Raw genomic sequence first — 13,634 nt, forward strand, 5'->3', positions numbered from 1 at the left:
CTCAATTCTCTAGGTCCTCTACCATCTGTTGTCCCACATGTAGAAACCATTTTTCCATGTCTCTGGTAGTCGCTTGTGGCCAAAATATTGGCCATTGGGTGGTCAGACCCGGGCTTCTCTCCATCCACCCATCCCTTTTACTTTTCAGCATCCCTCTCTGTGCTGGCTCTCATCTGCCTTCCTTCCTTGGATCTTCTCTTGCTGGGAACCTGTATCCCTTCAGGCCACTGGTACTTAGGAACGAGTGTTTTTCTGACAATCGGAATATACGTAGATATAGAAACAGATCAATTCACCTGTCCATAAATAAGCACCTATTCTTTCCTCTTGAACCCAGAGAGAAAAGGCAAACGCAACCTTCCCTTCAGGAAGTGGAAGCCAGAATAACGGAATTCCAACTGGAAAGTCTCCATTGACGTTTAGTTGGTGTTGTGGAAGGGTAATCTAAGTGTCTGGTCCTTTGTCATTCTGACTTTCTTCATAATGTGATCTCCTCACCTCCAGATTTCCCTTCTGCTCAATAGAACTAGGAGGAAGGAGAGGGAGCTTAACATTTCCCTTCTCTCAGACCCTTAGCTCCAAGGCAATCATCCTGAGACATTTTGCTACGCCATCTGCATCTGTCACAAGTTGAGTTCGGAGAACTCAGCTTGAGACACATCTCTTGTAACAGAAACTTCACTTGGCCCTTTCTTCTCTTATGGTAAAGAACAAAGACATACGCATTTGGGTAGTATTCTGGGGTCCGACTATGCGAGTGTGGTGTCATAGATGACCAAGCTTGGCAGGTTCTTCCAGTGACAGTGGTGGAGTATGTGCCTCGATAACTCTGTCCATTACCGTGGTAGCACTCCTGCACCCCAGGCCTCTGCTCAGTCGGTGCTGAAATGAAAACACAAGAAATAAACTGAGTATCTCTGAGAATAACGAAATATGTGAAGCCATTTATGACACAACCAGAAAGGAGTCTATGAGAATTACGAACGTTATCTTTCCCTTACCTGTAGGCAGATGGATGGGAGAAAACCAACCAAAAAACATACAGCAAACCTACAGATTCCTACCAATCTAGAACTGTAGTAAGTTCTAGGAAATATTTCACCTGAAATCCTTAGAAAAACAGAACAGAACAGACTCCTTCTCACTGCAAAGTGCGCTCACGAAGTAGCACCTTTCTATGAAACTCTACTGAATGTTCATACAAAGGGCACTGCATTTGGCAATGCAGGATGCAGGTGGTAATTGGCTGTCGAGGGCAGAGGAGGGGAAAGACATGGAAATTTTGCATGTTTCCCTAGATCGTTGATCATGAAAGCCAAGGCCTCTGGCTTCCAGGCCATGGGGCAGAAAACGATCCTATATATCTGACTGAAGGCAAAGACACTTTGCTTCTCAAGGATGTGTGCACGCCAAAACCTTCTTCCCTTGGAGGAGGGAGGGAATCTTCTCATGCCCTGCATCCTGAATTGCAGTAAAGGAGAAGTCTACTAACCTTTCTCTCTAGACCCCTCACAGGTACAAGTGCCATCAGAAAGAGGTTTAAGAACACTGAGAAATCACTCCCTTCAAAGCCTAGGACTGAAGAGCCTTAGAGCATTGGGAGCTCATATACTGCTCCATAGACCCAGGACCATATGGAATTAATGCAGCCCTGTTAGGTTTCTCGAGGATGACAGGCTCCAGAGCCACATTTTTTGAAATCTGCAATGCTGAAGATTGCACTGACTGCTGGCTACTTGAAGAAATCCCCAGAAAAGCTTACTGCGACAGAAAGAATCACACACCTGACAGCACGTTACAATAAAAATTTTGGCTAAGACACTGAGATAGCCCATTTTAGAAGGAGGTGAGTTGTGAAGCCCATCACCCTGGAAGGTTTGTGCCCATTCTAAAGACAAAGCCCACCCAAGTTGCACCAGAAATCACTCCGCTGGCTCCCCCAGAGAGTACACGGAGGCTTCCCCCAACATGGCAGAACTCCGGCAACACTCGAGCATCCGTTTACCATTGAAGGCGGCTGCATCAGTGGGAATTTCCATGGCTTTTCATCCCAGCATCGAAGCGTGTAGATGTCTGGCCACAGACTCCTTACCTTGTTCGGAAGGAGCCTCTAGGCTTGGAACCGGGGTAACAGTCGGAGGCGCGACGGCAGTCCCTTCTGCGTCTGAGCATTGCGTCAGGTTGCAGTACTCCCACCTGACACCGGGATCCCTCGTATAACAATAAGGAGCTGCCACAGCATCTGGATTCCTGCAGTAGTTCATGATCAAGCCACTGGAAATTCCAAAACGATACACGTCACAAGAGGTGGGACAACATGCAGGGGCACCCCACACTCTCTCCTTTGTGCTGCAACAAGGTCATTACCGGTGCCTTTCTAATATTCCCATTAAAAGTACCATATGATTGCCACCAGCAAAAATGGCTCTCGATCACTAATCCTCTCTGCACATCTCTCATACTTAATAGATTATTACTATTTTTTTTAAATAAAAAATCTAAAGTAGCAAACGCTTCTTAGAAACACTGAGATAACACACACACGTGGCCGAAAAACGATCAGAGTATTCTCCTTCTGCCTCCTACCCAATCCATCTCTCTGGAATAACTGGTATGGGTTTTGACGTCTGTATTGTGGGATTGTGTATTCACATGCAAATGCATCTGTATCTGTCTAGTCTCCGTATCTCTCTCGGTAGGACTTCATATTCTAATGTGGGAGTTGCAACGAACATGTAGTTCTTCAGAAAACACACGTCATCCAGGAGGATAGCCGTTCCAGGTCAACCCTCACACTCTATGTACTCAATACGTAGTGAAAAGGCTCTACCTTTCCCACAGAAAAGCATTGTGCAAATAGTATTACTGTCTGTCAGGTTTAGTAGGTTTGTTTCTCCAAGACTTCTCAAAGCTGCCCTGGAAAACTTGCTCCCAGGCAGGATGCAGTATCTCTAGAAGGGGTTCCTAGGCAGGTCCTTCTCTCCTGCTCTCAGTCTACCCTCTGCTGGCCGCAGCTACTCCGGGACTGAGGGAAAGGGGGATGAGTTGAAAGAACAGTGGGACCCATGGCATAAAGGAAGACGGCAGGGTGGACTAAGAGATCTGAAGAGGTCGGACAGCTACGGAGCAGCAGAGAAAAATGCATTAGGGGGCAAAGCAGGCGAGTAGTTTGGGCTGCGGGGATCTTGAAGCATTCGCTCTTCCTTATGCCTCCCAAGAACGTTGCTCCAACCTCCCAGTATCCTCACATTCATGACCTCTGGCTGCCTGAGAAAATGGGAAATGTATTATGGGCCATGGGGTTCCAACACTGTCTCTCTAGAGACTCTAGACTTGTGGCCTAGTCTCAACCCCAGACCCTCCATTCCAGGAAGCTGGTTCAATGAGCAACTGGATGTATAAGAGCCTGAGCTCTTGAAAGACTTCTAGTTCTTCCTTGGCTTCCCTCTTTTGAATGCATGGACTATTCTTATTATACCAAAAACCTCAGAGTTCAAACCTTTGTGATTGCTCTAGGATTTGCAATATCCCTTCGAACCCGCACAGTACCCTTTTATTAATATGACACACCATCGTGCATGAGGTAAAGAAACTTACAACGGTACACTTCGAATTAATCCCTTCGTGATTTATGCTACCATTTCAAATTCTTACCTCTACATATGCTGAAGTTAAATATCTTGCTATCATTTTGTTTCAAGTAGTCAACTCTCATTTACAAAGATATAGAAATTTGATCAAGAAAATATTTTGCATTTACATCTATCTACATTTGCCAATTGCTGGATTCTTCATTACGTGGGCTGCAGAAAGTTCCTTTCTTGTTCAATTCTTCTTCTACCTAATTCCTTCGGGTCACCTCTCTTGTTACATAAGCCTGCTGATTTCCAATTCTTACAGTTTCCGGTTTCTTTCTTTGGGGCAGTGCACAATATGCATTTATCCGACATGGATGATCTTCAAGGCATTTTATTGCTGGATTCAGCATTCCCGGTTGATCTCTTTTTGTTCCTGATTATCATTTTAACAATATTCCCTGGTATCTGGCTTCCAGTGTTTCTGAGGTGAACACATTGGCAATTTGTATCAGTGTACTTGTAGGAAGACACAGCTCTTTTTCCTCCAGTTTCTCGTGACAGGTTTCTTCTTATTATATCTTTGCCTTGTTACCTTCGAACTGTGATGTACAAAAGTACATCATACAGGTTGGGTTTTTTTTCCGAAATTCCCTATGTGATCCCTTGAGTTTCACGATTCTGTGATTTTTTTTAATGTTCTTCGTAATTGAAAAGTTATCAGCCATCCTTGATTCCGGTATTTGTTTCTATTCCAAACTCCCTTGCTCTTTACTGTGACTTGCTTCCCACATGCAGGAAATCTTTTCATATTTTCCTACATGTCTGTGAGGCTCGCTTAATTTTATATTTCACTGTTTCTTCAGGGGTGCGCGTGTCTGTGTGTGTTAGAACTTGTGAGTTTCTGCGTGTGTGTGAGTATGGGTGTGTTTTCAGTTTGTGTGTGTGTGTGTGTGTGTGTGTGTAGCTCATTCTGTAGGTTCTCTAGAATTGTGTGTTGGGTAATGTTTTCCTCTGAAACGTCTAAATTGATCAGCCGGCCATACAGTAATTTTTTTCAATTAAGACATACTTTTTTTATACTAGCTCTTTAATTTAATTTGGCTATTCTGTACTGTTAATTTCTCTTGATATGATATCTGCTTTCTTGCATGTTGTTTTTTTAAATATTTGAAATCAGTTATCATACTGATATGTCAAATTTTCACGCAATTCTAATCATTTCTCTCATTCCTGAGCCTGTTTGTATTACCCGATTTATTTCCTGGTCATGGGTCACACGAAACGCTTTTCTACATGTAGTCAGATTTTAAATTTAGGACTCACTCTGCGGATACCGCATAGCTGAGGCAATCGACTTTGTTGTTTACTTCTAAAGAGAGTTGAGATTTCCTCTCACAGGCACTTCATTGATTGGAAACCGATTTGATGCTTGGACACTTGCTTTCCAGCTGTGCAAGGGGTTGTCTGCAGCTGACTTTATTCTAGTAATATACTAAGTGTACCTTTAAATTACGGCTGTTCTGGGGTCTCCACTGAATTGGCAATGTGCTCCGTGAGGACTCTCTGGTCTAGCTGGGAAGAACTCCAGTATCCCAGAGTGCTATGTGATCTCTCTCTTCTTTATTGAGCTTCCTGTGCTCTTGTACTTGCTGTTTCTCAGTAAATGTTCTTTGCCACACTTTCTCGTGGAACCATTTCCTGTGCACAGGCAGCGTCATGTCAGGCCAACGACTGGAGGAGACTTCTATGCGTATTTGTAGAGCTCTTTTCCTCCACAAACCAGTTCTTATTTCTAGCAGACCTAGAAAAATTTCAGCTACCACAGTCATCCCAAACTCCAATCCCTCTCCTCCATTCAGCAAGATGGCTACAGTCTGCTTGGGCTCCATCTCCTTGCTATTCAGTGCAGGAAGGGTATCCAGGAAGAAAGCCAAGGCATCTGCGGAGTGGAGCCCATCATTGCCCCTCTCTCAATTCTCTAGGTCCTCTACCATCTGTTGTCCCACATGTAGAAACCATTTTTCCATGTCTCTGGTAGTCGCTTGTGGCCAAAATATTGGCCATTGGGTGGTCAGACCCGGGCTTCTCTCCATCCACCCATCCCTTTTACTTTTCAGCATCCCTCTCTGTGCTGACTCTCATCTGCCTTCCTTCCTTGGATCTTCTCTTGCTGGGAACCTGTATCCCTTCAGGCCACTGGTACTTAGGAACGAGTGTTTTTCTGACAATCGGAATATACGTAGATATAGAAACAGATCAATTCACCTGTCCATAAATAAGCACCTATTCTTTCCTCTTGAACCCAGAGAGAAAAGGCAAACGCAACCTTCCCTTCAGGAAGTGGAAGCCAGAATAACGGAATTCCAACTGGAAAGTCTCCATTGACGTTTAGTTGGTGTTGTGGAAGGGTAATCTAAGTGTCTGGTCCTTTGTCATTCTGACTTTCTTCATAATGTGATCTCCTCACCTCCAGATTTCCCTTCTGCTCAATAGAACTAGGAGGAAGGAGAGGGAGCTTAACATTTCCCTTCTCTCAGACCCTTAGCTCCAAGGCAATCATCCTGAGACATTTTGCTACGCCATCTGCATCTGTCACAAGTTGAGTTCGGAGAACTCAGCTTGAGACACATCTCTTGTAACAGAAACTTCACTTGGCCCTTTCTTCTCTTATGGTAAAGAACAAAGACATACGCATTTGGGTAGTATTCTGGGGTCCGACTATGCGAGTGTGGTGTCATAGATGACCAAGCTTGGCAGGTTCTTCCTGTGACAGTGGTGGAGTATGTGCCTCGATAACTCTGTCCATTACCATGGTAGCACTCCTGCACCCCAGGCCTTTGCTCAGTCGGTGCTGAAATGAAAACACGGGAAATCAAGCTGAGTATCTCTGAGCATAGAGAAACATGTGAAGCCATTTGTGACACAACCAGAAAGGAGTCTATGAGAATTACGACCGTTCTCTTTTCCTTATCCATAGGCAGATGGATGTGAGAAAACCGACCAACAAACAAACACCAAAGCAACAGATTCCTCCCATTCTAGAACTGTAGTAAGTTCTTGGAAATATTTCACCTGACACCTTAGAGAAACACAACAGATCAGATTCCTCATTGGAAAGTGAGCTCACGAGGTAGCACCTTTCTAGGAAACTCTACTGAATCTTCATGCAAACGGCACCGCATTTGGCAATGCGGGCTGCAGGTGGTAATTGGCTGTCGGGGGCAGAGTTTGGGACAGACATGGAAATTTTGCATGTTTCCCTAGACCGTTGATCATGAAAGCCAAGGCCTTTGGCTTCCGGGCCATGGGGCAGAAAACGGTCCTATGTATCTGACTGAAGACAAAGACACTTTGCTTCTCAGGGATGTGTGCACGCCAAAAGCTTCTTCCCTTGGAGGAGAGAGGGAATCCTCTCATGCCCTGCATCCTGAATTGTAGTAAAGTAGGAGTCTACTACTCTTTCTCTCTAGACCCCTCACAGGTACAAGTGTCATCAGAAAGAGGTTTAAGAATACTGAGAAATCACTCCCTTCAAAGCCTAGGGCTGAAGAGCCTTAGAGCACTGGGAGCTCATGTACTGCTCCATAGACCCAGGGCCACATGGAATCAATGCAGCCCTCTTAGGTTTCTCGAGGGTGACAGGCTCCAGAGCCACATTTCTCAGAATCTGCAATGCTGAAGATTGCTCTGAATGCTGGCTACTTGAAGAAATCCCCGGAAAAGCTTACTGGCTTGGAAAGAGTGACACACCTGACAGCATGTTACAATAAAAATTTTGGCTGGGACACTGAGGTAGCCCGTTTTACAACAAGGTGAATTTTGAAGTCGATCCCCCTGGAGGGTTTGTGCCCATCCTAAAGACAAAGCCCAACCACGTTGCACCAGAAATCACTCCGCTGGCTCCCCCAGAGAGTGCACGGAGGCTTCCTCCTACATGGTAGAACTCAGGCAACACTCGAGCATCCGTTTACCATTGAAGGCGGCTGCATCAGTGGGAATTTCCATGGCTTTTCATCCCAGCATCGAAGCGTGTAGATGTCTGGCCACAGACTCCTTACCTTGTTCGGAAGGAGCCTCTAGGCTTGGAACCGGGGTAACAGTCGGAGGCGCGACGGCAGTCCCTTCTGCGTCTGAGCATTGCGTCAGGTTGCAGTACTCCCACCTGACACCGGGATCCCTCGTATAACAATAAGGAGCTGCCACAGCATCTGGATTCCTGCAGTAGTTCATGATCAAGCCACTGGAAATTCCAAAACGATACACGTCACAAGAGGTGGGACAACATGCAGGGGCACCCCACACTCTCTCCTTTGTGCTGCAACAAGGTCATTACCGGTGCCTTTCTAATATTCCCATTAAAAGTACCATATGATTGCCACCAGCAAAAATGGCTCTCGATCACTAATCCTCTCTGCACATCTCTCATACTTAATAGATTATTACTATTTTTTTAAATAAAAAATCTAAAGTAGCAAACGCTTCTTAGAAACACTGAGATAACACACACACGTGGCCGAAAAACGATCAGAGTATTCTCCTTCTGCCTTCTGCCCAATCCATCTCTCTGGAATAACTGGTATGGGTTTTGACGTCTGTATTGTGGGATTGTGTATTCACATGCAAATGCATCTGTATCTGTCTAGTCTCCGTATCTCTCTCGGTAGGACTTCATATTCTAATGTGGGAGTTGCAACGAACATGTAGTTCTTCAGAAAACACACGTCATCCAGGAGGATAGCCGTTCCAGGTCAACCCTCACACTCTATGTACTCAATACGTAGTGAAAAGGCTCTACCTTTCCCACAGAAAAGCATTGTGCAAATAGTATTACTGTCTGTCAGGTTTAGTAGGTTTGTTTCTCCAAGACTTCTCAAAGCTGCCCTGGAAAACTTGCTCCCAGGCAGGATGCAGTATCTCTAGAAGGGGTTCCTAGGCAGGTCCTTCTCTCCTGCTCTCAGTCTACCCTCTGCTGGCCGCAGCTACTCCGGGACTGAGGGAAAGGGGGATGAGTTGAAAGAACAGTGGGACCCATGGCATAAAGGAAGACGGCAGGGTGGACTAAGAGATCTGAAGAGGTCGGACAGCTACGGAGCAGCAGAGAAAAATGCATTAGGGGGCAAAGCAGGCGAGTAGTTTGGGCTGCGGGGATCTTGAAGCATTCGCTCTTCCTTATGCCTCCCAAGAACGTTGCTCCAACCTCCCAGTATCCTCACATTCATGACCTCTGGCTGCCTGAGAAAATGGGAAATGTATTATGGGCCATGGGGTTCCAACACTGTCTCTCTAGAGACTCTAGACTTGTGGCCTAGTCTCAACCCCAGACCCTCCATTCCAGGAAGCTGGTTCAATGAGCAACTGGATGTATAAGAGCCTGAGCTCTTGAAAGACTTCTAGTTCTTCCTTGGCTTCCCTCTTTTGAATGCATGGACTATTCTTATTATACCAAAAACCTCAGAGTTCAAACCTTTGTGATTGCTCTAGGATTTGCAATATCCCTTCGAACCCGCACAGTACCCTTTTATTAATATGACACACCATCGTGCATGAGGTAAAGAAACTTACAACGGTACACTTCGAATTAATCCCTTCGTGATTTATGCTACCATTTCAAATTCTTACCTCTACATATGCTGAAGTTAAATATCTTGCTATCATTTTGTTTCAAGTAGTCAACTCTCATTTACAAAGATATAGAAATTTGATCAAGAAAATATTTTGCATTTACATCTATCTACATTTGCCAATTGCTGGATTCTTCATTACGTGGGCTGCAGAAAGTTCCTTTCTTGTTCAATTCTTCTTCTACCTAATTCCTTCGGGTCACCTCTCTTGTTACATAAGCCTGCTGATTTCCAATTCTTACAGTTTCCGGTTTCTTTCTTTGGGGCAGTGCACAATATGCATTTATCCGACATGGATGACCTTCAAGGCATTTTATTGCTGGATTCAGCATTCCCGGTTGATCTCTTTTTGTTCCTGATTATCATTTTAACAATATTCCCTGGTATCTGGCTTCCAGTGTTTCTGAGGTGAACACATTGGCAATTTGTATCAGTGTACTTGTAGGAAGACACAGCTCTTTTTCCTCCAGTTTCTCGTGACAGGTTTCTTCTTATTACATCTTTGCCTTGTTACCTTCGAACTGTGATGTACAAAAGTACATCATACAGGTTGGGTTTTTTTTCCGAAATTCCCTATATGATCCCTTGAGTTTCACGATTCTGTGATTTTTTTTAATGTTCTTCGTAATTGAAAAGTTATCAGCCATCCTTGATTCTGGTATTTGTTTCTATTATAAACTCCCTTGCTCTTTACTGTGACTTGCTTCCCACATGCAGGAAATCTTTTCATATTTTCCTACATGTCTGTGAGGCTCGCTTAATTTTATATTTCACTGTTTCTTCAGGGGTGCGCGTGTCTGTGTGTGTTAGAACTTGTGAGTTTCTGCGTGTGTGTGAGTATGGGTGTGTTTTCAGTGTGTGTGTGTGTGTGTGTGTGTGTGTGTGTAGCTCATTCTGTAGGTTCTCTAGAATTGTGTGTTGGGTAATGTTTTCCTCTGAAACGTCTAAATTGATCAGCCGGCCATACAGTAATTTTTTTCAATTAAGACATACTTTTTTTATACTACCTCTTTAATTTAATTTGGCTATTCTGTACTGTTAATTTCTCTTGATATGATATCTGCTTTCTTGCATGTTGTTTTTTTAAATATTTGAAATCAGTTATCATACTGATATGTCAAATTTTCACGCAATTCTAATCATTTCTCTCATTCCTGAGCCTGTTTGTATTACCCGATTTATTTCCTGGTCATGGGTCACACGAAACGCTTTTCTACATGTAGTCAGATTTTAAATTTAGGACTCACTCTGCGGATACCGCATAGCTGAGGCAATCGACTTTGTTGTTTACTTCTAAAGAGAGTTGAGATTTCCTCTCACAGGCACTTCATTGATTGGAAACCGATTTGATGCTTGGACACTTGCTTTCCAGCTGTGCAAGGGGTTGTCTGCAGCTGACTTTATTCTAGTAATATACTAAGTGTACCTTTAAATTACGGCTGTTCTGGGGTCTCCACTGAATTGGCAATGTGCTCCGTGAGGACTCTCTGGTCTAGCTGGGAAGAACTCCAGTATCCCAGAGTGCTATGTGATCTCTCTCTTCTTTATTGAGCTTCCTGTGCTCTTGTACTTGCTGTTTCTCAGTAAATGTTCTTTGCCACACTTTCTCGTGGAACCATTTCCTGTGCACAGGCAGCGTCATGTCAGGCCAACGACTGGAGGAGACTTCTATGCGTATTTGTAGAGCTCTTTTCCTCCACACAAACCAGTTCTTATTTCTAGCAGACCTAGAAAAATTTCAGCTACCACAGTCATCCCAAACTCCAATCCCTCTCCTCCATTCAGCAAGATGGCTACAGTCTGCTTGGGCTCCATCTCCTTGCTATTCAGTGCAGGAAGGGTATCCAGGAAGAAAGCCAAGGCATCTGCGGAGTGGAGCCCATCATTGCCCCTCTCTCAATTCTCTAGGTCCTCTACCATCTGTTGTCCCACATGTAGAAACCATTTTTCCATGTCTCTGGTAGTCGCTTGTGGCCAAAATATTGGCCATTGGGTGGTCAGACCCGGGCTTCTCTCCATCCACCCATCCCTTTTACTTTTCAGCATCCCTCTCTGTGCTGACTCTCATCTGCCTTCCTTCCTTGGATCTTCTCTTGCTGGGAACCTGTATCCCTTCAGGCCACTGGTACTTAGGAACGAGTGTTTTTCTGACAATCGGAATATACGTAGATATAGAAACAGATCAATTCACCTGTCCATAAATAAGCACCTATTCTTTCCTCTTGAACCCAGAGAGAAAAGGCAAACGCAACCTTCCCTTCAGGAAGTGGAAGCCAGAATAACGGAATTCCAACTGGAAAGTCTCCATTGACGTTTAGTTGGTGTTGTGGAAGGGTAATCTAAGTGTCTGGTCCTTTGTCATTCTGACTTTCTTCATAATGTGATCTCCTCACCTCCAGATTTCCCTTCTGCTCAATAGAACTAGGAGGAAGGAGAGGGAGCTTAACATTTCCCTTCTCTCAGACCCTTAGCTCCAAGGCAATCATCCTGAGACATTTTGCTACGCCATCTGCATCTGTCACAAGTTGAGTTCGGAGAACTCAGCTTGAGACACATCTCTTGTAACAGAAACTTCACTTGGCCCTTTCTTCTCTTATGGTAAAGAACAAAGACATACGCATTTGGGTAGTATTCTGGGGTCCGACTATGCGAGTGTGGTGTCATAGATGACCAAGCTTGGCAGGTTCTTCCTGTGACAGTGGTGGAGTATGTGCCTCGATAACTCTGTCCATTACCATGGTAGCACTCCTGCACCCCAGGCCTTTGCTCAGTCGGTGCTGAAATGAAAACACGGGAAATCAAGCTGAGTATCTCTGAGCATAGAGAAACATGTGAAGCCATTTGTGACACAACCAGAAAGGAGTCTATGAGAATTACGACCGTTCTCTTTTCCTTATCCATAGGCAGATGGATGTGAGAAAACCGACCAACAAACAAACACCAAAGCAACAGATTCCTCCCATTCTAGAACTGTAGTAAGTTCTTGGAAATATTTCACCTGACACCTTAGAGAAACACAACAGATCAGATTCCTCATTGGAAAGTGAGCTCACGAGGTAGCACCTTTCTAGGAAACTCTACTGAATCTTCATGCAAACGGCACCGCATTTGGCAATGCGGGCTGCAGGTGGTAATTGGCTGTCGGGGGCAGAGTTTGGGACAGACATGGAAATTTTGCATGTTTCCCTAGACCGTTGATCATGAAAGCCAAGGCCTTTGGCTTCCGGGCCATGGGGCAGAAAACGGTCCTATGTATCTGACTGAAGACAAAGACACTTTGCTTCTCAGGGATGTGTGCACGCCAAAAGCTTCTTCCCTTGGAGGAGAGAGGGAATCCTCTCATGCCCTGCATCCTGAATTGTAGTAAAGTAGGAGTCTACTACTCTTTCTCTCTAGACCCCTCACAGGTACAAGTGTCATCAGAAAGAGGTTTAAGAATACTGAGAAATCACTCCCTTCAAAGCCTAGGGCTGAAGAGCCTTAGAGCACTGGGAGCTCATGTACTGCTCCATAGACCCAGGGCCACATGGAATCAATGCAGCCCTCTTAGGTTTCTCGAGGGTGACAGGCTCCAGAGCCACATTTCTCAGAATCTGCAATGCTGAAGATTGCTCTGAATGCTGGCTACTTGAAGAAATCCCCGGAAAAGCTTACTGGCTTGGAAAGAGTGACACACCTGACAGCATGTTACAATAAAAATTTTGGCTGGGACACTGAGGTAGCCCGTTTTACAACAAGGTGAATTTTGAAGTCGATCCCCCTGGAGGGTTTGTGCCCATCCTAAAGACAAAGCCCAACCACGTTGCACCAGAAATCACTCCGCTGGCTCCCCCAGAGAGTGCACGGAGGCTTCCTCCTACATGGTAGAACTCAGGCAACACTCGAGCATCCGTTTACCATTGAAGGCGGCTGCATCAGTGGGAATTTCCATGGCTTTTCATCCCAGCATCGAAGCGTGTAGATGTCTGGCCACAGACTCCTTACCTTGTTCGGAAGGAGCCTCTAGGCTTGGAACCGGGGTAACAGTCGGAGGCGCGACGGCAGTCCCTTCTGCGTCTGAGCATTGCGTCAGGTTGCAGTACTCCCACCTGACACCGGGATCCCTCGTATAACAATAAGGAGCTGCCACAGCATCTGGATTCCTGCAGTAGTTCATGATCAAGCCACTGGAAATTCCAAAACGATACACGTCACAAGAGGTGGGACAACATGCAGGGGCACCCCACACTCTCTCCTTTGTGCTGCAACAAGGTCATTACCGGTGCCTTTCTAATATTCCCATTAAAAGTACCATATGATTGCCACCAGCAAAAATGGCTCTCGATCACTAATCCTCTCTGCACATCTCTCATACTTAATAGATTATTACTATTTTTTTTAAATAAAAAATCTAAAGTAGCAAACGCTTCTTAGAAACACTGAGATAACACACACA

The 13,634-nt window shown here is 44.9% G+C and overlaps 1 protein-coding gene across 1 annotated transcript in view; it reads right to left on the minus strand.

Annotated features, from left to right (window-relative positions):
* The window catches only part of LPA (lipoprotein(a)), a 132,794-nt gene that overhangs the window by 101,549 nt on the left and 17,611 nt on the right, over positions 1 to 13,634 (minus strand). The window contains exons 3-8 of the mRNA NM_005577.4: positions 13,184 to 13,365; positions 11,817 to 11,976; positions 7,637 to 7,818; positions 6,270 to 6,429; positions 2,093 to 2,274; positions 723 to 882 (exon numbers count right to left, since the gene is read on the minus strand). Of these exons, the coding sequence (NP_005568.2) occupies positions 723 to 882; positions 2,093 to 2,274; positions 6,270 to 6,429; positions 7,637 to 7,818; positions 11,817 to 11,976; positions 13,184 to 13,365 (1,026 nt within the window). The remainder of the gene's footprint in view (positions 1 to 722; positions 883 to 2,092; positions 2,275 to 6,269; positions 6,430 to 7,636; positions 7,819 to 11,816; positions 11,977 to 13,183; positions 13,366 to 13,634) is intronic.

The sequence above is a fragment of the Homo sapiens genome, chromosome 6 (assembly GCF_000001405.40).
Source record: "Homo sapiens chromosome 6, GRCh38.p14 Primary Assembly".
Classification (NCBI taxonomy): domain Eukaryota; kingdom Metazoa; phylum Chordata; class Mammalia; order Primates; family Hominidae; genus Homo; species Homo sapiens.